Source organism: Homo sapiens, chromosome 9, assembly GCF_000001405.40.
Source record: "Homo sapiens chromosome 9, GRCh38.p14 Primary Assembly".
NCBI lineage: Eukaryota > Metazoa > Chordata > Mammalia > Primates > Hominidae > Homo > Homo sapiens.
This window is the reverse complement of record NC_000009.12, coordinates 133674943-133702281: the sequence shown is the minus strand read 5'-3', so window position 1 is coordinate 133702281 and position 27339 is coordinate 133674943. Positions and strand designations below refer to the sequence as shown.

At 54.8% G+C, this 27339-nt stretch overlaps 1 protein-coding gene across 12 annotated transcripts in view, besides 3 other annotated features; it reads left to right on the top strand.

The window, feature by feature from the left end:
• The window catches only part of SARDH (sarcosine dehydrogenase), an 80538-nt gene that overhangs the window by 37674 nt on the left and 15525 nt on the right, over positions 1-27339 (top strand). For 11 of the 12 annotated variants that reach the window (XR_001746217.2, XR_001746216.2, XR_001746213.2 and 8 more), the window contains 4 exons: positions 5921-6059; positions 7911-8024; positions 11755-11902; positions 16996-17089. Coding sequence is in view for 8 of the 12 variants with exons in the window: in XM_017014367.2 (XP_016869856.1) it covers positions 5921-6059; positions 7911-8024; positions 11755-11902; positions 16996-17089 (495 nt within the window). In the remaining 4 variants the exon portion in view is untranslated. The remainder of the gene's footprint in view (positions 1-5920; positions 6060-7910; positions 8025-11754; positions 11903-16995; positions 17090-27339) is intronic. The other variant, XR_007061258.1, reaches the window with a different exon arrangement.
• Positions 16374-16874: an enhancer, noted in NCBI's record as "H3K4me1 hESC enhancer chr9:136550530-136551030 (GRCh37/hg19 assembly coordinates)". NCBI's record gives its function as "activates a minimal SCP1, AML or CMV promoter by ChIP-STARR-seq in naive and primed H9 embryonic stem cells {active_cell/tissue: H9 hESC(naive and primed)}" and the evidence as "EXISTENCE:reporter gene assay evidence [ECO:0000049][PMID:30033119]".
• Positions 24618-25761: an enhancer, noted in NCBI's record as "amplified fragment containing the chr9:136541641-136542786 (GRCh37) CAGE-defined region". NCBI's record gives its function as "transcribed enhancer in T cells {active_cell/tissue: T cell}" and the evidence as "EXISTENCE:reporter gene assay evidence [ECO:0000049][PMID:24670763]".
• Positions 24811-25311: an enhancer, noted in NCBI's record as "H3K4me1 hESC enhancer chr9:136542093-136542593 (GRCh37/hg19 assembly coordinates)". NCBI's record gives its function as "activates a minimal SCP1, AML or CMV promoter by ChIP-STARR-seq in naive H9 embryonic stem cells {active_cell/tissue: H9 hESC(naive)}" and the evidence as "EXISTENCE:reporter gene assay evidence [ECO:0000049][PMID:30033119]".

Here is a 27339-nt window from a genome sequence, read left to right as displayed (position 1 = left end):
TTCTCCCCCGCAGCAGCCTGCACCACACAGGGGCGTTCTCCCCCGCAGCTGTCCGGGAAGGAGCGAGGCCAGCGTCTGCCCTGGCCTGCCCAGTCGTGTTGTAAAGTGCTCACAGGTGGAGCACAGCTGTTGTCCCCGTGCCACCCCAGGGAGACGCGTGACACCTCACTGCGAATCTGACATAGGAGCAGAGCCAAGGCCTGAGCCCAGAGTCTCAGAGCCCAGGGACAGCTTAGGAGGCATCCACGAGGGGGTTCCTTCCTGGGGCCTCTAGGCCAGTCGCAAGTCCGGCTTGGGTAGGGTCTGACCCTGCGGTCGTCCGTTGCCTTGAAGGGCCCCGCTTGGGTTCATGCTGTGCTGTCAGTGCCTTGAGACTCTTCATGGTCTTTGAGCAAGGTCCCCACTGGGTCCCGCACTGGGTTCTGTAGCCAGTTCTGAAGGGAATAAACCGTTCATTTCCACCATCTCCCCGAAAGCTTGCTCTAGTGGTGGAACATCTGTTCAAGGCGTCGGAAGAGGGGGCTCCTGCAGGAAGGAGGAGGCGTGTGTGTCATGAAGCGCCGCAGCAGCAGGGCCGGCTCAGTGCCCGAGTCCCTTGTCGCTGCCTCCCAGGGAGTGCTCGGGGCTCCGTCTGGCACCTCCGCACCCACAGCTTCTAAAGCCTGTGGGACTCTGGCCCTCGAGGATGTGGGAGCTCGGGGGAGATGCCAACTTGGCTTTGTGGCTTCATCCGGCCTCCGCAAACGCGCCTGAAGCCGTCCTAAAGCACGAAACACGTGCTTGTTCTTGGCGCTGGCAGCTTCCCCGGCCTGCTAGAGGAGCCCAGCGCGGGAGGCTGCTGAGGGTTTTGGTTGGCAGCCCCGGTGGCATCAGCAAAGGTACAGCAGAAACCGACAAAGGGGAGCCCTGTCCTGAAGGACAGTGATGCCTGGTGGGGCTGGAGAAGCCATGGAGAGCTCAGGAGGCAGATGGTCCCTGTGGTGTGCTGGTAACAGCTTAACAACCAGCTCTCTGGGGCAGAGGGGAGGAAGCTGGCTCTGTAGCACCGGCCAATTTCCCTGATGTAAATGCTTTCTCCATGGCTGATTTCAATCCAGTCCGCCAATGAGGCATCACTGAATGTGGAGCTGGGCAGGGATCTGCCTGACCAGCTGTCAGGGTCAGTGCACCCCTGCACAGCCTGGCTGGACCATAACTCTGCCACTGCCTGGCTGTGCCACCATCCCTGGCCTCCCTGAGTATGTGAGGGGTAATATGAGTTCCCTTGTGGAAACTCAAAGGGAGTTTGGGAGGAGATGAAACAGCTTCCCGACACACGGCAGCTGTTCAGGAAGCTGTGGTTGTTGCTGTCATGATTATTTTTTTCCTGTAACAACAATGAGGTGGGCACCTCTGCTCAGCAGTGGGGGGCATGTTGAGCCCTGAAGGGGAAGACCAAGTAGAACATACAGTGAAGAATAGAAGATTCTCAAAACCTCACCCAGGCATTTGTAAACCTGGGGAAGGAAATAGGGAGTGATGTTGTTTATGTGTGTGTGTGTGTGCGCGTGCGTGTGTGTGTGTGTGCTTTGAAAACAGCTTTATTGAGATCTAATTCGCATACTATATGATTTATTCATTTAAAAGGTACAACTCAGTGTTTTTTAGTGAGTTCACGGGATTGTACAACCATCACCATGATCTAGTTTTAGAATGTTTTCATCTCCCAGCAAAAGATACCCCACACCTCACCCTATCCCCAGCCCAGGGCAACCCTACTCTACTTTCTCTCTCTGTAGATATATCTAGTTTGGACGTTTCACGTAAGTAGAATCATAAAAGATGTGTGCTTTTGTGATCAGCTTCTTCCACTTAGCGTGATATTCTCAAGGCACATTCATGTCGTAGTGTGTGTGTCAGCACTTCATTCCTTTTTTTTTTAATTTTTCAAATTTTTATTTATTTATTTATTTTTTGAGATGGGGTCTTGCTCTGTTGCCCCAGGCTGGAGTGCAGGGGTGCAATTCGGCTCACTGCAACTTCTGCCTCTCAGGTTCAAGCGATTCTTCTGCCTCAGCCTCCCAAGTAGCTGGGATTACAGGCACAGGCCAACATGACCAACTAATTTTTGTATTTTTAATAGAGACGGGATTTCACCATGTTGACCAGGCTGGTCTTGAACTCCTGACCTCAGGTGATCCACCTGCCTTGGCCTCCCAAAGTGCTGGGATTACAGGCATGAGCCACCATGCCAGGCCACTTCATTCCTTTTTATCCCAATCATATTCCATTGTATGGACCCATCATATTTTACTCATCCATTGATCCGTTGGTGGACATTGGAATTGTTTTCACTTTTGAGTTCTTATGAGCAGTGCTGCTGTGAACATCCACGTACCAGGTGTCGTATGCATGTATGTTATAATTTCTTATGGGTATATAACGAGGCCTGGGTCAAGTGGTATCTCTGTTTAACATTTTGGGGGAACGCCAACTGTTCTCCAAAGTAACTGTACCACATTACATTCCCCACCACAGTGCGAGAGGGTTCCAGTGTCTCCACATCCTCGCCAACACTTATTATTATCTGACTTTTTGATTCTAGACATCCTGGTGGTTGTGAAATGGCATTTCAGTGTGGTTTTGATTTGCATTCCTGGAACAACTAATGATGTTGAGCACATTTTCATGGGCCTGTTGTCCACTTGCATATATTCTGTGGAGAGATGTCTGTTCAGATCCTTTGTCCCTTTTAAAATTGGGTTATTTGTCTTATTATTATTATTATTATTATTTGAGACAGGGTTTCGCTCTTGTTGCCCAGGCTGGAGTGCAATGGTGTGATCTCGGCTCACTGCAACCTCCGCCTCCTGGGTTCAAGCAATGCTCCTGCCTCAGCCTCCTCAGTAGCTGGGATTACAGGTGCACACCACCACGCCCAGCTAATTTTGTATTTGTAGTAGAGATGGGGTTTCTCCATGTTGGCTAGGCTGGTCTCAAACTCCAGACCTCAGGTGATCTGCCTGCCTCAGCCTCCCAAGTAATTATCCTGCCTCAGCCTCCTGAGTAGCTGGGATTACAGGCATGCACCACCACGCCCAGCTAATTTTGTATTTTTAGTAGAGATGGGGTTTCTCCATGTTGGTCAGGCTGGTCTCGAACTCCTGACCTCAGGTGATCCACCCGCCTCAGCCTCCCAAAGTGCTGGGATTACAGGCATGAGCCACCGCAGCCGACTGTCTTTTTATTATTGAGTTGCAAATTTTTTTATAGTTTAGTTACAAGTCTCTTATCAGATCTGTAATGTGCACACACTCTCCCCATCCTGTGGTTGTCATCTCTCTTCCTTGATGGCATTGTTTGCAGCTTTTAAAATGTTGATGCTGTCCAATTCATCTCTATGTTTTTGTTTTGTTGCTTGTGTTTTTGGTGTCATGTCTAAGAACCTAACCGAAGGTAAAAAACATTTATGTTTTCTTCTAAGAGTTTTATATCTTCGCTTTTACACTTAGGTCTAGGATCCATGAAAATTAATTTTTTTTGCATGGCGTGAGGTCGGGTCCAGCCACGTTCTTTTGCATGTGGCTACCCAGTTGGCCCAGCACCAGTTGTTGAAAAGATTGCTCTACCCTTGGAATTGTCTTGGCACCCTTGTTGAAAATCAATTGACTGTAAAGATGAGGGCTTATTTCTGGACTCTCAATTCTATTCCGTTGATCTATAGGTCTATTCTTATTTAGTACCTCACTGTCTTGATTATGTGGCTTTGTATTTTAATAGCAAGTTTGGAATCAAGAAATGTGAATTCTGCAATTTTGTTTTTCCTTTTCAATATTGTTTTGAGTATTATTGGCCCCTTTGAATCTCCATATGAATTTTAGGATTGGCTAGTCAATTTCTGCAAAGAAACCAGCTGAGAATTTTGATAGGGACTGTGTTAGGTCTGTAGATCAATTTGGGGTATCTTGTCATTTCAACAATAGTAAGTCTTTTGTTTCATGAACATGGGCTGTCTTTCCACTTATTTAGGTCTTCTCTCATTTCTTTCAAAAAATCTAGATTTTAGGATATAAGTTTGGGACTTTTTAATTAAATTTATTCCTAAGCATTTTATTATCTTGATGATATTACAAATATAATTTTTTAAAACTTCCTTTTGAGACTGTTCATTGCTAATATAGAAATACAATAGTTTTTTGTGTGTTTTTATATATTGACCTTGTATCCTGCAACCTCGTTGAACTATTTTATTAGTTCTAACAGTTTTTTTTCTTTTTTTTCTTTTTTTTTTTTAGTGGATTCCTTAGGATTTCCTATATACAAGATACTGTTTTGGCAAATAGGGATGTTTTTATTTCTTCTTTTCTGATCTGGATGCCTTTTATTTTTCTTTTCCTGCCTAATTGCCCTGGCTAGAGCCTCCAGTGCAATGTTGAATAGAGTGGCAAGAATGGACCCCCCTGTCTTGTTCCTGATCTTTCATCATGAAGTATAATGTTTGCAATGTGATTTTTATAGGTGTCTTTCATCAGCTGAGGGAAGCTCCCTTATAGTCCTAGTTTGTTGTGCGTTTTTATCATGAACGGGTGAATTTTGTCAAATACTTTTCTGTATCTGTTGGAGGATCAGATGGTTTTTGTCCTTTGTTCTCTTAATATGTTGCATTACATCAATTGATTTTTGAATGTTAAACCAACCTCATATTCCTGGGATAAATCCCATTGATCATGGTGTGTAATCTCTTTCCTATGTTGTTGGATTTGATTTACTAGTATTTTGTTGAGGATTTTTTTGTATCTATATTTGTAAGAAATATTGGTCTGTAGTTTTCTTATAATATCTTTTTCTGCTTTTGGCATCAGGGTAATGCTGGCCTCCTAGAGTGAATTGGCAAGTATTTCCTATTCATATTTTTTGGAAGAGTTTGGGAAAAATGGGTATTAGTTCTTTGACTGTTTGGTAAAATTCATCAGGGAAGCCATCTGGACCTGGGATTGTGGACAATTTTTCAATTACGAATTCCATCTCTTTTTTGTTTTAGTTCTATTAAGATTTGTCATGTCTTCATTCTGTTTCAGTAATTTGTGTGTTTCTAGGAATTTGTCCATTTCGTGTCTAGTCTGTTGGCATACACGTGTTCGGAGTTCCCTCAGAATCCCTTTTATTTCTGTGGGGTAGGCATGATCTCCTGTCTTTCATTCCTGATTTTAGCACTTTGAGTCCTCTCATTTTCTCTGTCACTCTAGCTAGAAGTTTGTCCATTTTGTTGATCTTTTCAAAACATCAACTTTTTGTTTTGCTGTTTTTTCCTATTTTTCGATTCTTATTTCTGTTCTAACATTTCATTCCTTCTGCTTGCTTTGGGTTTAATTATGCTCTTTTTCTGGTGTCTCAAAGTGGAAGATTGGGCTATTGATTTGAGATCTTCTTTCGTAATGCAAGCACATACAAGCAGAAATTTCCCTGTGAGCATCGCTTTAGCTGCATCTCATAAGTGGTTGTGTGTTGTGCTTTCATTTTCATTTAATTCAGTAGCTTCTAATTCCCTTTGTGATTCTTTTCTTTGATCCATTGGTTCTTTAGCAGTGTGTTGTGTAATTTCCACATATTTGTGAATTTTCCAATTGTTCTTCTGCTATTGATTTCTAATTTAATTACATCGCGGTCAGAGGACATCCTTTGTATGATTTCAACCTTTTTGAATTTATTGAGCCTTATTTTGTGGCTTAGCATATTATCTATCCTGGGGAGCATGTCCTGTGCTTGGGAAGCATGTGTCACAGTGTGCACCTGAGCTGAGAAGGGCTTGGTGCGGGCTGGAAGAGAGGGAGGGGAGGCTCAGTACAGGTGTGTTGGACACAGCCCCCGTTCTCCACGTTCTTGAGGAAGAAGCACACCCCAAAGGCCCCCGTGGCATTCCCACCTGTCTGGAACTTTTCAGATCAAGAAGGAGTGCCTGGCCTGCAGAGGGGCCGCCGCTGTGTTTGACATGTCCTACTTCGGGAAGTTCTACCTGGTGGGGCTGGATGCAAGGAAGGCTGCCGACTGGCTCTTCTCCGCAGATGTCAGCCGACCCCCAGGTATGGAGCCTGAGGTTGGGGGGCATGTTCCTGTCACTCCATGGGCACAGCCTCAGGCACTGAGATGAGCTGGCAAGCCACCCTGTCCCCTCGGGCACCCTGAGCACACTGCTCCTTGCCCTCACCTGGCTTTGAGCTCCCCCCCGTCCGGCCCCCTTTGCCCCATCCCAGGCCCCAGGCCCTCATTACTTTCCTCCACCTCTCCCTCCTGCCTTCCTTCTCCTCCCTACCTCTGCCTTCCTCTCTACTCTTCCAGAAAGGATGTGTGGCAGCTGGCCCTCAGCCACGTCTCTCCTGGGACTGTGGGGCCCAGTCCCCCCCATGCTCTCACAGGTGGGATTGCCAGAATTAAATAGAAACACAGGATGCTAAGCTACATTTGAATTTTGGATACATAATGACTCATTTTTAATGTAAGTATGTCCCAAGCCATATTTGGGACATACTTGGGATCTTCATCTGCCTTTTCGTCACCCACCCACCCACCCACCCAACAGCTCATGCGTCCCCATCTTCATGAGTGTTCTGGGCTGCCAGAACAGAGGATCACAAACCTGGTGGCTTAAAACAACACCAATTTATTGTCACGGTTCTGGAAGCTGGAGGTCAAAATGAGGGTGTCTGTACCTGACACTCTGCAGAGGACCCTTCCTTGCTCTTCCAGCTGCTGGTGGTGGCCGGGAGTCTTGGCCTTCCTCGGCATGCAGCTGCGTCACTGCAGTCTCTGCCTGTGTCACAAGGCCTTCTCCAGGTGTTCTCTTTTTTGTTTTGTTTTGTTTTGAGACGGAGTCTCGCTCTGTCGCTCAGGCTGGAGTGCAATGGCGCGATCTCAGCTCACTGCAACCTCCGCCTCCTGGGTCCAAGTGATTCTCATGCCTCAGCCTCCTGAGTAGCTGGGATTACAGGCGCACACCACCATGCCCAACTATTTTTTCTATTTTTAGTAGAGACGGGGTTTCGCCATATTGGCCAGGCTGGTCTGAAACTCCTGACCTCAGGTGATCCTCCCACCTCAGCCTCCCAAAGTGCTGGGATTACAGGTGTGAGCCACCGTGTTAGAAGGACAGCAGTCAGATTAGATGAGGGCCCACACTCATGACCTCACTTTAACCTGATCATATCTGCAAAGACCTCATTTCCAAATAAGATCACACTCCCAGTCCTGGTGAGGACTTTCACATATCTTTTGTGGGGGACACAATTCAACCCCTAACATCATCTCTTCAGCCAGCCAACCAACAAACCCACTCCCCAGACTCCCAGGCACCTGCTGCTCACCTCCCATTAATCCAGCCACCCACTCAGTCTTGCATCCACCCATCCACCAGCCCACACATCCCTGTTTCTCCATACATCTGTTCCCCCTTCTGCTCACCCACTCCCATCCTCCCATCCATCTGCCCACCTTCCCATCTGTCCATCCATCCTCCATCCACAAAGTAATTTATGCCACAGACATTTATGGAGTCTTCTCCGGTACCAGGCACGGAGCTAGGAGCCCCAGAATGAACGGGGGGCATGAATCCTGTCCCTAGAAACTTCTCAGCATGGTGGTGGATGGGTGGGAGGGGCCAGTGCCAAGGCATTTCAAGAAGAAAGAAGCTTCCTTCCCGCAAGGGTGACGGTGATGGGATGTCCTGCCCATGGCCAGTCCTCTCTGGGTCATTAAGCTGAAATGGCATCCCTGGGCTGAGGAGCTCTCCAGGTCACCTCCCAGTAGGGCATCCTGTCTGGGGGTTATCCAGCCTCCGTGACAAGGAGCTGCCCCTGTGAGCGGCCCTGGGGAAACTGAGGCAGCACAGACCCGGCTGGGGCCTCAGCACAGACCCGGCTTCCTTCTCCCTCTCGCAGGCTCCACCGTGTACACGTGCATGCTCAACCACCGTGGGGGCACCGAGAGTGACCTGACTGTCAGCCGCCTGGCACCCAGCCACCAGGCCTCCCCGCTGGCCCCCGCCTTTGAAGGTATGGGATGCCTCTGTGCACACGGCGCTGTGACTGCGGCCTGCTCTGTGGACTGGTGGTTGTGGACAGGGCAGGATGGACGGGATGGGCTGCTGACGGCAGCTCTGTCATTAGCTGTTGTGCCCGCTGTGGTCAGAGCTGGGAGATTAGAGGTCTCGTTTCAGGCTAAATGGGGGCTTTGTTCAGGCGGCATTGCTGGAGCTCCCAGTACTCAGTGATTGCATCTCTGAACCTGTCCACGCTGTTGCGGTTCGGAGTGGCTGCAGTGTGGGCGTGCTCGGCTCGGTTTCCCGGAACAAAGCGTACCAATGCTAGGCCGTGCCTCCCACTCAAAGCAGTCAGCTCCTTTCTGCCACTGACATCCTTGCTGGGTTGACTTCTCAGGCCCGTGTGACCCTCTAGTCTGGAGCTTGGATAGGCCCTTAGAAGACGTCCAGTTCAGGGCCCACGCTGATGCCTGATTGCCTGCTGCAGTCCCACCATGTCTGCTTGCATACCCTCAGGGACAGGTAGCTCAGTACCTTCATCCCTTGTTTGCTCAGCCCCAACTGTTACGCAGAGCCAGGACCTGCCTCTTGTCCCTTCAGCTCCCTGATCCTGTCCCTGGGTTCACACAGGAGCCATCTGATCTCTCGTCCTGTAACCCATCCCCACCAGGGATGAAGAAGCAGAGAGGGAAACATTCTCTTTCTCCAGGAAGAGGCATTGCCACCTCTGGGATGGGACCTGCACAGGGGAAGGTGCTGACCGTGCAGCTCTCTGTGCTGTCCCCGGGGCAGGGGCACAGTCAGCGGGGAGGGCTCAGCCCATTCAGAAAACCTGGCATCTCCTGGTTCTTGACCTGACTCCGTGCTGCTGGCAAATGTAGTTGTTTCCTCACTGGGACTCGGTCAGTGTCGAGCCCCAGCTTGGGCACTGGGGGAGAGAGGCAAGGGGAGAAAGGGGCTCATTCATGATCAGCTCATAACCCGCACCTTCGGCAGCAGTCATTGAGCACCGACTGTGTGTCAGGCTCAGTTTGAGGCACGGAGGACCCAACAGTGAGCCAAACACAGGAGGTTCTGGCCCATGTGGAGTTTGTATCTCTGGTGGGAGGAAATAGGATTAAAAAAATAAAATAAGTGGAAGGTGTAGGATGTTAGATGGGTCAAGAGGAAAAATGAAGACCGGAGGGGGTGGGATATTGGGGGCCAGGGTGGGAAGACAGCGCTCCTCACTGCCCAGCGGGTCTTCGGGGCTGGGGGCTGGCAGGGGCTCCTGGGCCTCTGCGGTTCTGCCAAAAGCAGGGAGTAGTGAGGTGAGCCCTGCGGTCTGGAGGCTGGTGGCGGAGATGAGGCTGAGAGCGTGAGTGAGGGGTCCTATGGGGTGCGCAGAGCTCGCCCACCCCTTCCCTCCTGCCGTTGGCGACGTGGAGGCTGAGGGAGCCATGGGCTGAGCCACAGCGCTCGTGCCTCATGGATCCATGAGCTCGTTCCTTCGCTCGTTCCCTCAACAGTCATCACGTGAGCCTGCACTGTGTGGAAGCACCAGGTAGCCAGGGTCGGGAGGAGGTGAAGGAGGCCGGTGGGGCTTCAGGGACCCCACAGTGGGCTGTATGTCCAGACGGGGGCAGGAAGGGCCCCGTAACACCTGGAGGGGGACATGCAAGGGGATGGGAAAGAGCGAGGTGTTAGGGAAGGCCATGTGAAGCCGCCGAGCCGGGATGAGCAAGGCTTCCTGGAGGAGAGGGCCGGCCTGAGCTTGGAAGGATGGGGAGGAGCCACTGGCTACAAGGGTGTAGAGGTGAGAACCAGTGTGACCTGCCCATCGCTGGTCGTCTCTGGGTCATTCAGCTGAAATGGCATCTCTGAGCTGAGAGGAGTGTTGCCTGTAAGGAGCTAGGCATCAGCCCCCAGTAGAGGGGCGGCCCAGGCACAGCCCATAGCCGCAGACTTAGTGAGTCTAGCTAGGGAGACAGTAGAGGGGCCAAAATGAGGACACAGGTCACCAAAAATCCTGGCCAGGTCCTGCCACTACCTGGCTCAGCGACCTGCCCCCCCGAGCCTCAGTTTCCCCCATTGGTGGAATGGAGTGAGGAAGACGCGCCTCCCGGGGCTGCGATGGAGAATTGAGTCAGAGTCTGGGGGTGCTGGGAGGGCTGGGGAGCAGCCTCCCTGAGCCTCAGTTTCCCTGGCTGGGGAATGAGGACCTTGCTCGTCCCCCCTCATAAGGGGAAGCTGTCAGGAAAGTGCTTTCAACGCTGAGCCATCTCCCAGTGGTGCACAATTAGCTTTCCAGAGGATTCTGGTGGATTCCTAGAGCTGAGGGCTGGGGATCGGCGGTGCTGGTTGCTGGGAAGGTTTGCACTTGGTGGGTGTGGAGTTAGCACAGTGAGTCACATCCCCCAGGGCTCTGCGGGTCCTGGGGACACCACTCAACAGGAGAAAACCACCATGTGGGCTTTGCTTTACTTTCAGGCTTCAAAACTGCACTGTTTGAGTTATGAATATGCATGGGCATTAAATATGCGCGTGTTGAATACGTGCGCTACCTACCCATGCTGCATCAGATCACCACGGAGCCGAGAGAATGTGATGATTTACACAATGTGATCAAGGTGGCATACAAAGCAGCTGTCAATCTCAAAAGTAATTTTAAATGGTCTTTATTGATCTTTTTGTAAGATTACAAAAGGATACATGCTCCTGGGAACCATTCCAATGATACTGAAAAGCACAAAATCAGCTGCACAGCCCACAGCTCCCCCCACACCCACTGCCGATGGTGCAAGTCCCCGGCCACCCTGCCTTCTCACTGCTCTCTGCCATGTCAGCTTTGCAGGCCAGGCCTGGACCTGGGCTGACTGACCTCTGGCCTCAGGACTGGCGTCTTGTTTTCAGGGAAGTTGATCATGGATGGTCAGGGCCACAGGAGGCCAGGCCCATCAGCTGCCATCTCCCTGGGCACCAGTTGGCCTCAGTAGCTCCCATGCCCTCCTGGGAGAGGCCTGGGATGGCTGCAGACTGGGGGGGCCACTCAGGAGCCAGGGGCCTGAGAGTGGCCGTGTGTGTGTGTGTGTGTGTGTGTGTGTGTGTGTGTGTGTGTGTGTTGGGGGAGGTGAGGTAGGGTGTCTGTCTGAATAGAGCTGAGGATTCCATCCAGAAACGGCCCCAGTTCAGGTGTCGGGGAACCCCTTGAGGACTGGCTTGTCTCTTTGCCTTCATTCTCTGTTGTGCTTATGGTGTCAAGAGGAAGAAGAGAGGGAGCAGCCTGGCTGGGGCCTGCCTGGGGCCCTGAGAGGTCTCTCGTCCAAGGGTGCTTCCAATAGCCCTGTGGGGCCAGATGTTGTGGGTCTGCCCCTTTTACAGATGAGAAAATGGGGGCTCAGAGAGGTGAGAAGCAAGGCCGGTGAGCCGCAGAACTGCATCTGGGCCAGGCTGGCCTAGGCCTGTGTGTTCCCAAGACACCGTCCTCCCAGGGTAGGGGCATCCCTTTGAGGTGTCTGCAGAGGGGTGGGTGGTAGGGGTTGAGAAGCAGGTCCTTCTCCTAACCCCCATGGCTCAGAGGATACTCTGCAAGGCGTGGCCCTGGGGGACCCAGGGAGGGACAGATACGGTTCCTGGGCACTGTGAAGGCACAGGCCCCTGAGAGGGCATTTGTTTTCTCAGCCGGGAGACCCTTGGGCCACCCTCTCTGTCCCCACCTCCCAGGCCCTGAAATCCTGCTCTAAGTCCAGGTGCCTCTCTTCCAGGGGACGGTTACTACCTGGCCATGGGCGGGGCCGTGGCCCAGCACAACTGGTCCCACATCACCACCGTGCTGCAGGACCAGAAGTCCCAGTGCCAGCTCATCGACAGCTCCGAGGACCTGGGTATGATCAGTATCCAGGGCCCAGCCAGGTGAGAGAGGACTGGGAGCCCGCCCCTGGGTGCACCTGCTGCCTGGACCCAGGTCCTCCAACAGGCCCTTGGGCAGAACAGCTTGTCCAGAATGGGCCATTCTGAATAGTTAAGCGCTCTGGTAAACCAGAGATGCCATTCTGAATAAATATCTTCAAAGCACTGGAATGCAGATAAGCCGGTAACACGAGTCAGACTGAAATTTACAGCTGTTCAGTCACTGAGGACCCCAGGATCCCAGAGGGGAGGGCAGTCTCTGAGTCACCAGTGCAGTCTAGGAATTACCGTCCACCATCCCAAAGTGGGCAGAACCAGGCCAGATTTCGCCCTGCTACCTGGTAATTTCTGTACGCCACCTTGATCACATGGGCAGAATAATATCCTATACCGAGGGGTCCCTGGCTCCTCCGGAAACACCCTCCATGACAAGGTTAAGGCTTATCCATGCGTGCATTCCTTCTATAAACACCTGCCGGGCTGTGTTCCCCACCCATGAGAAACCAGGACCGGGGAAGACCCTCGGCTGCTGGCTCATGCACACAGCCACAGAAGAGTCTTGGGCAAAAGGACGGCTGAGCAGGTGTGCACCTTGGAAAGACCCCTCTGACTGTGCTTCGGAGGCTGGGAGAAGGGACTGGGGGTGGGGGACAGGGAGGAAGGACATCATGTTAGCAGCCACCAGTGGAGCACCTGTGACTTGCCAAGCCTGAGCCAACATCTCCCATCCCCACGGTAGCCCTTTGAGGTGGTCATAATTGTTCTTATTTTTACTGATGCAGAAACTGAGAAACAGAGAGGTTGAGACATTTGCCCAAGGTCACACAGCTGGTCAGTGCCAGGGCTGATGGGGATGCGTCCCCCTTGTGCTCAGAAGCCTGCACACGCTCACCGCCACCCTTTTTCAAGAGTTAAAAATCCTCTGTGAGAAAACGGCCTAGTCTAGGCCTTCCATTGGTGACCCTCCCCCACCAGGCTAAGGGGCCAGGACACTCATCTCGGTGTGCTTCCTGCCGCCACATCTGCCTTGGGGCTGGACAGGGTGGCTCTGCTGGACTGGGCAGGAGGAAGAGGCACGAGATGAGGGCACTGCTTCTGGGGACATGGAGGATATCAAAGGGGTGATCTGTCTCTGGAAAATGATGGTGGCAGCTTCGGGGAGAGGATGGGAAAGGAGAGGAGGAGAGGCAGGGAGGGGTGGGGGGGAGATGAGTCTCCAGCCTGAAGGTCGCCGAGGTGAGCACTTGACGTAGCAGGGCTGTGTCCTGGTGATATCCTGTCAGCCTGGGATTCTGCCGAGACCTCTGGCTGGAGTGCCCAGACTCTGCCATGGGGTCCGCTTTCCCTGGCACCCCACGCTGAGTCCTAGGCCAGTTGCTCCCCTCTCAGGCTGCAAGGGACCGAGCTGTTGCTGTCCGTCCAAGCATATGCACTGTGGTGCTCAGGGGCACACGGTAGACGCGTGCTTGCTGAGGAAGGGATAGAATCGGAGAGGGTCGAGTGCTTTAACACTAACTGGCTTCTGCCAAGTGTTTGACTTGAGGCTGCTCATAGAAACCAACATGCATTAAGGAGACATTTGGGCAGAACCCTGCAGGAAACGAGTGACCCAGCCTTGGTGTTCTGGGGGAACTGCTCCCAGCAGTGGTAACAGCAGGTGCAAAGGCCCCGTGGCAGGCCAGTGCGTATGTCTGAGGCACGCATTGAGGCTGGGATGGAGCAGGCCAGGAGCCGGGCTCAGAGGGCAGCAGGGTGAGATACTGGAGGCCCAGCAGCTGCTCCTCTGAGGGAGGGGTGCTGAGCAGAGGAGGAACATGGTCGGGCTTGGGCTTTGGTGGGGGGGTCTCTGCTGTTGGGTCAGCGGGCAGGGGGCCAGCAGGCCTGTGAGGAGCCTCAGGCCAGGCGAGGCAGGGATGCCAGGAGGGAGTGATGAGCTGAGTCCATGCGGCTCACGGGCGAGGGTTTGGCGTTGTGGTGGTTCCCATGGACTGGGCGAGGCTCATAGCACCCGACAGTGGATGGGGTGTGCTGAGAGGGTCGGGGGAGGGTAGGGGACAGAGACAGCTTCCGCGTGCATGATGAAGAGTGGAGGGTGCTGGCCGCAGCTGCCGGGAAAGGGACTGGGATGCGGTGGAATCATGCAGTCCCCAGCCTGGCCCACAGGCAGCCGCGATGCTGTGTGCTTTTCATTTCTCACCTGGGTGACCCCAACCTCCGCATCTCTGGGGTAGAGGGAGGGGTGTCAAGGCCTGGTCCTTGGAATCCTCTGGCTTCATTGCCACGCCAGCCTTGGACAGGGAGTGGGGATATTTTTAGTGTGGGGGAGGCAGGTGGGCCGTGGAGGGAGGAGGTGGCAGATGGACCGATCAAGGTGCGGCCCGGGGGCGGCCGGTGCGCCCAGCCTCATTATAAGCTGCTCCAGGCGGTGGCGGGGGAGGCAGCCAGGGCGGGAAGAGGAGCTCGCTGCCTCCTGGTAATTTCTTAACTTTCTCCTCCAAAATGTCCTCTATCTTTCAAAAATAACCCAAAGTTTCTTAGATGAATAATAATACTGGTGCTGCTGATAAAGGCTGCACTTTCGGAATTGTTATTCAGGACGTGCTCAGCACACCTACTGGACAATGGAGTAGGGGCTGTGTGAGCTGCTGCCCCATGGAACTTTCTGGAAATGCTCCATAACTGAGTGGTCCAACACGCAGCCACTAAACCCTGTGTGGCTACTGAGCCTTTGAAATGTGGCTAGTGGGACTGCATTTTTAATACTAGTGGATGTAAACTCAAATAGCCCCCTGTGCTGGTAGAGGCTGGGCTCGGTGGCTCATGCCTGCAACCCTAGCACTTTGGGAGGCCGAGGTGATAAGATCGCTTGAGTCCGGGAGTTTGAGACCAGCCTGAGCAACATAGCGAGATCCTATCTCTAAAAAAACAACAAAAAAATTTTTCAATTAGCTCAGCACGGTGGTGCACACCTGTAGTCGCAGCTACTTGGGAGCCCAAGGCTGGAGGATCGCTTGAGCCCAGGAGGTCAAGGCTGCAGCGAGCTGTGATTGTGCCACTGCAAGCCGCCCTGGGAGACAGGGTGACCTTGTCTCAAGCCAAAATGAAACAAAACAAACCAAAACCAATATCCTTGCGTGGCTGGGAGAGACGGTGTCGTGCAGCCCAGAACTGGCCATCGCTGTGGTCATGGTTAGCACCAGGGGCTTTGTGTGCTTTCTTGCTGGTTCCTCACAGTGGCCCGTGGCATCACAGATGAGGGACTGGGGCTTGGTAGGGTTCAGGGGTAAGTACAGGGCCTGGGACTAGAACCGGGGCCTCTGACTGGGAAGCTCGTGGACCCCTGGAACTGGGCTTCCCCTGAGGTTGCTGAGCCCATAGCCTGGGTCAGAGCCCTTCAAAGCCTTGGACCAGGTGGCAGCTCCAGGCTTCTGCCCCAGGGTCCCTTCCGTGCGGCTGCCACTCAAGGCTGCAGAGAGCATGTGCTTGTCAGGTCTGAGGCACTGGTATCACTCTCCAGGGCTTGGCACCACGTGGGTGCTGAGTGGTTACATAAGGGTCTTGGCCAACTGTACCACAGCTGAGCACCTCAGGCTGACGTGGGTGGCGGCTCCCAGCACTGTGACGATTGGGATTAGGGTCAGCAGTACTTCTGGACAGCCCACCCTGCAGCCTCAACACCTGCTGGGATCCCAGAGGGACAGAAGTGGGGGGGCGTCTCCTAGCAATGGGGGCCTCACCCTGCTGTGCCAAGCCAGGGTGTTCACAGTCAGTTCTATTTACTGAGAGCCTGCTCTGTGCCAGGCACATTGGGATAGGGGGATGCTGTTGGCACGGAGCTCCTGGGGGTGGATGCATTGGGGGTGGGTACAACCAATGTGAGAGACACCCTGGCAGGAGACTGTGGGATCTTGGACAACGAGTACCTGCCCAAGACCTAGGGAGTCAGGGAGGGCTTCCTGGGGGAGGTGACAGCTGAGCCAAGAGCTGAAGGATGACAAAGGGTTAAGTGGTGACAGGGGAAGGGGTGAGAATGCGAAGGGGCACAAGAGGGCTAGGCCTGGAGGTGGGCACGGTGCCCAGGAGGTGAGGGCTTCCTGGGAGACCATGGGTGTTGGCTCCAGTGAGGTCTCCGGTACTTGCGCAAGTGTGAGAGTAGATGTGGTGCTGGGTACCACGGAGCAGGGAAAGTGGGGAGCGAATCCCCACCCTCGCAGAGCTTAAAAGCAGGGGTGGACCCAGCAAGTCTGTGCAAACTGTCCAGTATGGACTGAGTGTCCAGTGCTCAGGAACATTCCCGGGCCCTCATAGCACTGTGGCACTCAGGTGCAGCCCTGCCCTCGGTAGGTGACAGTCCCCTAGGAGGTTGAAATGGCTCTTAGCACCTGCTGGGTGCTAAGCCCAGCTCTCTACCTCCTCCAAGTCTGCAGCCTGAGCGTCTCACACCCATGTCAGGCAGAGGACTTTGGGGCCGAGGTGCCCAGTTGGAGGGTTAGGTCAGGGAACAGAGCGGGGTGGTGTCTGGGAAGAGCACTTTCTGCAGTGGGCTGGGAGGAGGCCGGAATCTGCTCCAATCCGGCTCTGCCTTGGGCAAGTTACTCTACTCTTCTGTACAGCACTGAGGCCACCATAGCCAGCTCCTCTCTCGGGCCGTGGCTACCAAAGCAGCAGCTGAGGCCCCTCTGGCCTCTGAAGAGTTGGAAACCTGGAGAGGCCTGGGGATGTGGATTGTGGATTGTGGACCTGGTCCAGATGCTCTGTTCCTCCTGGCCTGTGGGCTTCAAGGGCATTCTATGGTTAGATAACCACTCTGGCCTCACTTCCCCATCTAAGAATCGCGAGTCCCGTTAGAGCTATCTCCAAGTCTGGCCTCCCCCAGGGGTCCTGCTAGCCCTAGCGTTACCCCGTTGGAAGGTGGCTGTCTTATGTATATTTGGAACGTACATCTGTCTTGGTGTATTTTTATTAATCCATGTTTATTGTCATCTGTCTCATGAGGACAGGGACTTATCCCACTCATGGCAGGTCCCCGGGGCCTTTCCTGCCCAGGCCCCACCCGTGAGCACTTGCTGACTGAGCGACTTTGCTCTTGCCTGCAGCCGAGCCATTTTGCAGGAGGTGCTGGACGCAGACCTGAGCAACGAGGCCTTCCCGTTCTCCACCCACAAGCTACTGAGAGCCGCAGGGCACCTGGTAGGTTCCAGCTGGCCACGTCCTCTGGGTCGTGGGTGGCAGCATGGTGTGAGGGGTGCGCCGGGGGATCTGGGGGCTGGGGGCTCTCGGGCAGGTTCCTTTGCCTCCCTGGGCCTCGGTCCCCAACTGTGAAGGGGGGACAGTGGGACCAGGCGGCCCTCCTACAGGCTGTTGGGAGCTTGGAGAGGTCATGTGGATCAAAGTCACAGCGTCTTCCATCCCTCCTCGGTGCCTGGTGCATGCCAGGGACTCAGTCCCAGGGAAGGTGGCCTTGGCCTCACTGCCTGCATCGCCACCTATTGTATCCCCTCCTGAAAGGCGCGGGGCAGCCCTCCCGAGGCCAAGTGACCTCCTGGAAACGGGAGGGCCGAGCTCTGCTGAGCAGTAGCTGGCTCCGGAGAGCTCCGTGTGGCAGCCTCCCAGCTGCCATTGTGGGCGTGGGAGGAGGGGCTGCTGGGGTGGGAGCACAGCCAGTCCCCAAACAGCACCCCACATGTCCCCCACCAACTCTAGAAAGCCTGTATCCTGGGGGCCAGAGCCCGTCCCTTCTGAGATGGTGGTAGTGTCCGGAGCCAGCACTCCATGGGACCTGGCCCCAGGCAGGAGGCTCCCTCAGAGACCAGGATCGGGGCCCAGATTCTAGTTCTGGGCCAGCACGACCCTCTTCTGGGCTTTGTTTCCTTGTTGGAAAACAGGCATCTTGGCATCTGCTTTGACTTCTCGAGGCTGAGATGAGGATGGTAAACACAGCAGCCCCTGTTTGCCGAGGGCTTCCTGTGTGCCAGACACTGTTCCGAGAACATCACAGCACACTTTCCCATGTAATCCTCGCCATAGTGCGGGCGGCTCTGTTACAGGGTCTCCCAACCTCAGCACTACTGACGTTTGGAGGAGATCCTCTCTGCTGTGAGGGCCCTCCTGTGTGACACAGGTGTGTGGCCGCCTCCCTGGCTGCCGCCCACTAGGTGCCAGTGGCACCCACCGTCGTGACAGCCACAAGTGTGTTCAGACATGGCCAAGGGTCCGCTGGGGGCAGGATCGCCCATTGAGAACCTCAGTGCATGACCACCCTGCTTGTTTGCAGGGCTGTAAGCCATGTAGTGGCAGCGGGGGCCGGGCCTCCAGAGCCCTCCAGCGCTCATGCTGGAGGAGATGTCGCCCTGCATGACGGATGTTACCCAGATGGAGCTCAGAGAGGCTGGATGGGCCAGGCTGCTCAGGGCCGCCCGGCTAAAGAAACCCAGAAAGCCCCCGATATGTGTCAGTGACACGGATGTGGCCTTCAGGAGGGGGTGGGCGGGTGCACGGCCGCGTTTGGAGGCAGCTCCCTGTCTCTCCTTCCTGTATGTTCGTCTGGGGTTTGGGTGGGGAAATGCTAAGGAAGGTTGGGGAGGAGCGAGGTCCTGGCCTGCAGAGGGACTGGAGGTCCTGGGGGACAAATCTGGGTTCTGTTAGCAGATAAACAATCTGGCGATGACTGTCAGGGAGGAGGCGGCCAGAAACTAGGGAGATCCCAGCGGCTCTGCTCTCACCTCCCCTCTCCAGAGGCTGCACAGGGGCAGGAAGCAGGGCCGGCTGTGTCTAGCTTGCTTCCTGCCTCTGTGGTGCAAAGCTGCCTGCTGGGACCAGAGAGGGTGGGCACTCAGAGAGAGCAGCACAGCTGGATCCAGGCCACACGGCCTTCAGATGGCCCGACTCCAGCTCCAGCAGGCCGGGGTCCACGCAGCATCCAGCTTTGTCTGCAGCTGGGTTCTGGTTTGCAGAAGGGGAGGGGGGCTGCGGGTTCTCCCACCTTGCTGAGGCTTGGCATAGGTGCTGCTTCTGTCTGGTTTGGCTACAGGACGGGGAGACGACCAGGTGGGAACACGTCCCCTCCCATTTGAGGCCCAGCAGCCTTGCCCCCACCCGCACGGCCACTCCAGCAAGCTGCTGGGACTTGTTCTCAGACAGGCGGCTCCAGCTGCCTCCCCTCTCCTGGGGCTGGCCCTTTCCTGGCCCTGGCAGCCTCCCCAAGCCTAGGCAGTGGCTGCCTGGGTCAGCCTCTACCTGTGTGGCCTAGGAGCCAGGCCAGGCCAGGTGCTTGCTGAGCTGACCCAAAGGCTCTGCTTCCGGGATGACATCCCCCAGAGGAACAGGCCAGGCCAAACACAGCGTGGGGGGTGCAGGGGGTGCAGGGGCCGCCTCTCCCCACAGTCTCCTGCTCATTGGTGTAAAATCACTGGTGTTGTAAAAAGCACATCACGGCTGCATAAAATACTGCTCATTGCTCGGTTTCCAACCATCACTGCGCATGGGTTTCAGCACAGGGGCTGAGTGCAGACCTCGCTTCTAGCAGTTTCCAACCATCACTGCGCGTGGGTTTCAGCACAGGGGCTGAGTGCAGACCTCGCTTCTAGCAGTTTCCAACCATCACTGCGCGTGGGTTTCAGCACAGGGGCTGAGTGCAGACCTCGCTTCTAGCAGTTTCCAACCATCACTGCGCATGGGTTTCAGCACAGGGGCTGAGTGCAGACCTCGCTTCTAGCAGTTTCCAACCATCACTGCGCGTGGGTTTCAGCACAGGGGCTGAGTGCAGACCTCACTTCTACCAAGCCCACTTTGGGCACGACCCTTGCCCCCTCAGAACAAGGATGCTGGGTCTGTGGGCAGGTCTCGTGAGCTGCGGCACGAAGCTCATCTGGCTGGGACATGGTGGTCAGCGGCATCTCAGAGGACCGTTGGGGACATTCATAGCCTGCCAATGAGTTAGCGAAAACCCCTCTAATCCCATCCCAGAGAAACCAGGGTTGACAGTTGAGTGTGTTGCCCGCCATCTTCTTTCCGTCATCTGTGACTATCTGTGGATTTTAAAATGTAATCAGGGCATCCCATGCAGTCTGTACACACTGCTTTATTCTCCGAATGTCGTGACTGTTCCCCTGTTCCTTTGAACGTTCCCCGAGAACCACTTGGAACGCCCTCAGCTGCGTCTCCAGTGCCCTGCTCATGTGTTTCACACCGGGTCCACCTCTCTGCTTTGGAAGTGGCCCCGGGAGGAACTTCCCTTGAACACCGTCCTCCCAGTAGATGCTGACTGTTGGTCTGAGAGAGGGTAGAGCTGGGCCCACCAGGTCGGAGGTATGTGCGGTTCATGGTCCCGGGTCACTCTGTGGTGTGTTCTTCTCTGTCCTTCCGTATTTCTGCGCCCCTCGCTTGCCCAGTGCTACCCTAGGTCTCAGGCGGAGTGGGAGAGAAGCACAATGCTTTCTAGGCTGGGGTCCCTGCGTGTGGGATGGGGGGGAGGGGAAACACAGGGGAGGTGGGACATGAGCGTCAACTGGCGTGCGCGATCGTGGGGACACAGGAAATAGGCGGCGGGGAGGTGCTACACGCATAAGGAGGCCCAGCTGCTGGGAAACACGCCGCGCACCGGCCGTGGCAGTTATCCATGGTGTACCTCCCAGCACCGTCAGCTCACGTAGGGCCACTGGGACTCTCAGTCAAGCACTAGTGTTTTACTAAACTTAACGATCCGTTCCCAGTGCTGTGCTTCTCGTCCTCTCCCTCACTAGCGCTCGAGAGACTCTGGAGTGAACTCTGGACATGCTGCCTGGGAGCCTGCTGGGTGCTGGATTGGGGTCCCAGGATGGAAGATGTGGCTCCTTCCCTCGATGGGCTCAGACCCCGAGTGAGGTTGGGGCCCAGGAAGGGACCTGCAGCCACAGCCCAGCCTGTACTGGAAAGAGGTCCTAGGCAGGGTGAGGGGTGACCCCAGGCCAACGGGTTCTCATGGAACCGAGAGTCCCGCAAAGATGGCCACAGAGAACTGAGTGTTGGCAAGAACCAGACAGGGTGGGGCAAGGCCCCGAGTGTCTCGACCTCTTGGCTAGAAAAAAAGTGTGGCCCGTGTTGGGGGGCTCTGCCCTGGGACTGACCCCAGGGGCCTGTGGACGAGCCGGGAGCCCACATCAGCTGCCCCTGCTCTACCCACTACCCACCAGCATTCTCCCCATCCCTGTGGGCCCCATCCTGACACCTCCCAGCCCCCGTGGCAGGACCAGGGCGGCAGATGTCCCCGGTGCTGAGGGCAGGCTTCCATCCCCACACAGCCCCAGCCAGGAGCTCGTCTCTGCCGACAGCCAGTGGCCCAGGGCCCCACTCCTTAGGAAGACAGACGACCTTAGCGCACAGATTTACTGTCACCTGGGCTGAGTGGCCGGCTCTGTGGGGTCATTCCCATGCTCATGTTCTTGGAGTCCGTGGGGTCCATCGGGGACAGACTGGGGGTGAGCTGGGGCTAACCATCTTCACCTAGAGACCCTGATGCCCAGCACTGAGCGCAGCCCCACTGGCTTCTCGTCCCTCTCCCTCCTTGTCCTCCCGGCAGCTCTCTGGAGTGGCCAGTGTGGGCCTGGCGGCCAGGTCTGCGTGTGTCTGGAGTGGCCAGTGTGGGCCTGGCGGCCAGGTCTGCGTGTGTCTGGAGGACGACTGTGGCCCTCAGGAGCTTGAAGTTGCTGGGTGGCCGGTGGGTCCAGATCCCATGAGATGAGGCCGGGGACTCGAGGAGCGTGTGGAGGACGGAGCGGCCAGGAATCCTGTCCTCAGTGACCTCTGCCTCCTCTTGAGGGCCCTGGGGAGGTGTGGGCCAGGAGAGCAGAGGTTCTGGGCCCTTAGTGTCAATGTTACAGTTTTTGCTGACCTGGGAGGCTGTCCCTCAAAGTGGCCAGGGCCACGCGCTCCCAGGTGGCCCCAGCCTGGGACACAGTGCCCTCCCCATTTCCTGGCCAGCAAGACGGGTGGGGATACAGCCACTGGCCACGGCCAGCTCCCCCTGTAGGGGGCCTCACAGGCAGGTGGGAGATGGGAGTTGAGTCAGCCACAGACACTGGGGGGTTTGGGACCAAAGCATCCATGTTACCCAAGGCTCGGTGGAGCTCAGGCCAGAAGCCTGGCTTCCCATCCTGCCCGGTCCTTCTGCGGGTCGCCTCTCTGGGCCTCAGTGTCCCCACCTGTAGCACGGAGTCTAGCACAATGTCTAAAATTCTTTCCGGGCCTTTCCATAAGTCTGTCCAGACACTCTGGATTCTCTGAATCCAGGGAGAATTTCATATTCTCCTAAATAATATCTTGTGCTGGCTTAAAAATGTGTTGATGACATATCCCTCAACGTGAAGAAACGCTGGGCTGGAGCGTGGGCCTGAGCCAGGTATTTATAGGCGATCAGTTGGGTTCCAGCCAACCAGATGCAGGCGAGGAATGCGTGTGCCTGCGCAGTCAGCGGAACCTCTGGGTTGAAAGCAGTTGTGAGGGCCGATGAGGACAAGGGCCAGAGCTGCAGACCCGGGCCCCGGGTGCGAGAGCGGGCGCCTGCCGCTGCCCAAAGACCCTCCTCACCACCAGACGAATTGGGCGCGATTCCCAGCTGAGCACTGCTGCTGTTGTGCAGTGATTGTTCTCCGAGAGGCTGGGATCTGACCCAGGCTGCCACGATCCCTGGACTGCTAGAGGAGGAAGCAGGGTGGGGAGAAGTTATTGTCCGCTCAGCAGCCAGCAGACCAGCTGTCCTTGCTCCCCAAATATCTTGCCTCGAGGCCAGCAAGATTCCCCGTGGGTCAGTGCTCTCCCGGCGTGTCTCCCAGAGCTCCGCTCGGCCAGACACGGTGTTCCCAGGGCCCCTGCCGAGGACGGGCCCCGCCGCGAAGCAGCATGCTGGGCTGGGAGCACTCCGTGGGGCACGGTGATCAAGTGATTTTCTCTGAAAATTAATTTCAGCTCAAAAGGAAATTGAATCTCTTTTCCTGACAGCGAGAAGTCCTAGTCGCGGCGCTGTTAGGATTTGATTAGCTCAGGATGGAGCAGTCCTGCACCCACACACGTTAGATAACTATGACATGCCAGTCAGAGACCAGCTGAGTTCCAGCCACTGCCTAAACACTCGCTTTACAGAACCCGTGCAGATTTGCTGAGGCCTGAGACAGATACCCGATATCATGGGCAGGTTCCCTGATGCAGCACAGAGAGACTGGTGGCCGCAGGCTGGGGCACCGTGTTCCCTGTCACGGGTCGAGCTGTTGCCACGATAGTGTGAAGGGCCTGGGCCCCAAGGGGAAGTTGGAGCGAGGGTGTTTGTGGAGTGGGTGGTGGGAAGCTTCGACCCCCACCCGGGTTTGCTGCTTCTGTCTGGGGCAAGTGACCTCAGGCAGAACTGGGTGCAGAGGGCTCTGAGCTGGGGGCCTTGGAGACTTCAGGGGCAATCGGTTCCAGGTTCTCATCTTGCCCTTGTAAGGAAAGAAAAGGTGTGAGCCCTCCCCTCACCCATTATCAGGGGCATGGGAGACAGCCCTGTAACAAAAGACTGGTTCACAAGAGAAAAGCACACCAGATAGATTTAATCAGAGCTTTATGTGACATGGGAGCCATCAGAAAGGGGGACCCAGAGACCCAGGGAAGACGGTTCCTATGCTTAAGGTCGGTGAAGAATGGGGAGCCGTGTGGACAGGTGTTGGACGGCAGGGGATGCCTGTGGGGATGGACTGTGGGGAGGCTGGCGAGGCCAGCTGTGCAGCTCCCCCTTGGCCTCTCCGTGCAGTGCTTCTCACTCCCAGGCATGGGACAGGACCCCTGGAGCAAAGGTCTTATGACCCACAGTCAGACAAGGTAGGCGGAGAACATCTTTATGGCCAGCTCCTCCCCAGAAAAGTGGGGAAGGCTTGAGTTGTATTTCTAGGTCTCATGGCTGGCTTTGGGGGAGAGGGCCTCTACTGTCCATGACCCATCTGGGGAAAGAGGAATTCTGGCTTCTGTGACTTGCTGCAGGGGAGAAAGAGGGCGGGAGACAAGAGGGGATGAGGAGGTCAGAGAGATTTGGGCTGCACCAGAGGCCTTCTGGTCCCCTTTAGTCCCGAGTCCTCATGCCAGGTGCCCTGCTTGGGGGATCATGGTCTGAATCCTAGAACCCTTGCCGCAGATGAGCCTCGAGCCTGCTGGCCACTGTGGTGGAGGCTGGTGGGAATGGGTACCAGTGCTGTGTGGCCCAGGGAGGGAGGCCTCCTGCACCTGCCCACTGACCGACACTTGCCACCTAAGTGGCCTGAATGGAATGGGACAGGCAAGGTGGGGGGTCCTCTCATCCTTGGGGACCAATGGCATCCCACAGAACTCCCTCCAGGGCCTGGAAGGGTCTGACCTCCAGAACCTTCCAAAAAGAGAGGGTCCTCAGGCCAATTTGGAGGGAGATAGCCATGGTCATAGTAGTGGCGCTTGCCTAAGTGTGGGGGACTCAGCGGGCCTCAGCCCCGCCCCACATGATCTCATTCCACAGAGGGATCCTCTCTCATCACAACCTATAGTCCAGGAGTCTGAGCCCCAGCGAAGGCCACCAGTGGCAGGCGGCTCTGCTGGCTTCAGGAATCATTCCCCTCTTGTCCAGGCCAACTGGCTGGGAACAGCGCCTGGCCACTGGGAAGACGGGCAACAGGCAGCCCTGTGGGTCCTGAGCCCTTGCCCCCAGCCAGGGCCAAGCAGGAAGGGGACTCTGTTCCCAGCAGGGTCCACGCTATCACAAAGGACCCCTGCCCCAACCCTTTATTTGCAGAGCTACATCTGATAATAACAGACATGTCACTCCAGGGGACTGATTAGTTCCATGGGTGGAGAGGTCCCCTGTAGCCCCACCCTTCATGGGTTTGATTCCAAAGCACCTATTCCTAAACAGGAGGCAGAGTTCCCCTCACCTTGGTCTTCCTCCCTCTCAGCTTGACCCCCACCTGGCCAGGTATCTGCTCTGGTCCGACCCTCAAGCTGCACCCAGGTGAGGTCAGGGGCCCAGGATTGAAGGTGCATCCCCTACGGATTCTTTCAACAAGAATCGTGCGTAATAAGCTCTGTCTGGGTCTGAGAACATTGTCGATTCACCTCACTCCTCTCACCCCTGGAGGATGTGGGTTTCCAGGCTGACAGTTATGTTCGAAGCTCTGTGCTTCGAAGATACTGTTCTACAGTAGATTAGCATCTACTAGAGCCACGCCAAGGGGTGGTTTCAGGGTTTCAGGCCTCTCTCTCTGTCTTATGTATTTGCGATGGAGTCTCACTCTGTTGCCCAGGCTGGAGTGCAGTGGGGCGACCTTGGCTCGCTACAGCCTCCGCCTCTCAGGTTCAACCAATTCTCCTGCCTCAGCCTCCCAAGTAGCTGGGACTAAAGGTGCCCATCACCACAGCCAGCTAATTTTTGTATTTTTAGTAGAGATGGGGTTTCGCTGTGTTGGCCAGGCTGGTCTCAAACTCCTGGCCTCAAGTGATCCGCCCAACTCGGCCTCCCAAAGTGCTGGGATTGCAGGCGTGAGCCACTGCGCCCGGACTCTTTCTGTGATTTCCATGCAGGGATTCACTGGTATTTATCCTGTTTGGTACCCACTGTGCTTTCTGCAGTCTGACTGCTCATGACCGACCATCTTCACTTCTGGAACATTCTCTGCTGTTATCTGTTTAAGTACCGCCTTTCCCCCCGGTCTCTCTGGTATCTCCTTGACCTTCTGTTGGACGCAGACTGCAGCTTCCTGTCCGGCCCAGGGCCATTCCCTCACATTCCCCGAATTCCCATCTCTGTGTCTACACCCCCCGGCCTCCCCTGGCACCTCTGTTCCTGTGGTCCAGGATGTCGAGAAAGTGCCGGTCACTTAGTTCCTAGCCTCAGTTTCCCATGAAGAAAAGGAGTTGGTTTGCTGGCTGGTTTGTTAATTTAATTGTACAGTTCGGTAGTGTTAAGTATGTTCACATTGTTGGGAAACAAACCTCCAGAATGTCTTCATTTTGTGAAACTGAAGCTCTGTCCCCATTGAGGCAATTCCCTTTCCCTCTCCCCAGCCCCTGTGCCCTCCATTCTGCTCTTGATGTCTATGAATTTGGTGACTCCAGGGACCTCATATGAGTGGAATCAGACAGGATTTGTCCTTCTGTGACTGGCTCCCTTCACTTAGCGTGATGTGTTTATAATGTTTTTGTCCGCGTTGTGTTATGCATCCGAAGTTCCTTCCTTTTTAAGGCTGAATAACATTCCTTCATGTGGATAGAACACTTTTTGTCTGTTCATCATCTGTTTTTGGTGTGTGTTTTTTTTTTTAATTTCAGACAGGGTCTTAGTCTGTCACCCAGGCTGGAGTGCAGCGGTGCGATCTCAGCTCACTGCCTCAACCTCCTGGTCTCAAGTGATCCTCCCCCCTTCAGCCTTCCAAGTAGCTGGGACTACAGGCACATGCCACCAAACCCAGCTAATTCTAAAATTTTTTTTGTAGAGACAGGGCCTCCCTATGTTGCCCAGGCTGGTCTCAGACTCCTGGGCTCAAGCAGTCCTCCTGCCTTGGCCTCCCCAAGTACTGGGATTACAGGTGTGAGCCACTATGCCCTGCTTGTTCATCCTCTGCTGATGGACACTTGGGTTGCATCTACCTCTTGGCTATTGTGAATAACCCTGTGAATATGAGTGTGCAAATACCTCTTCGAATCCCTCCTTTCAATTCCTTTGGGTGTATACCCAGAAGTGGGGTTGCTGGATCACATGGAAGTTGTATTTTTAAAGTTTTAAAGAACTGCCACCCTGTTTTCCACAGTGCTTGCACCATTTTCCATTTCCACTAACAATACACAAGGGTTCCAGTTTCTCCACATCCTCACCAACACTCGTTACTTTCTTTTTCTTGTTTTTATAATTGTCATCCTCATGGGCACAAAGTGATAACTCACTGTGACTTGGGTTTGCGTGCCTCTGATGGGTAGTGACGTGGAGCATCTTTTCCTGGGCCTGTTGGCCATTTGCATTTGCTTTTGAGAATTGTCGATTCAAGTCCCTTGCCTATTTTTTTTTTTTTTAAATGGAGTCTCACTCTGTTGCCCAGGCTGGAGTGCAGTGGCACAATCTCGGCTCACTGCAGCCTCCACCTCCTTGATTCAAGTGATTCTCCCACCTCAGCCTCCTGAGTAGCTGGGACTACAGGCATGCACCACCATGCCCAACTAATTTTTTTTTTAAATATTTTTAATGGAAACAGGGTTTCACTATGTTGGCCAGGGTGGTCTCGAGCTCCTGACCTCAGATGGTCCTCCCACCTTGGTCTCCCAAAGTGCTGGGATTACAGGCATGAGCCACCACACCCGGCCCCTTTGCCCATTTTTAATGGTGGTATTTGACTTTTTATTGTTAAGTTGTAGGAGTTCTTTGTTCTGTCTGGGTAGAAGGCCCTTATCATATGTAAGACTTGCAAATGTTCTCTCCCATC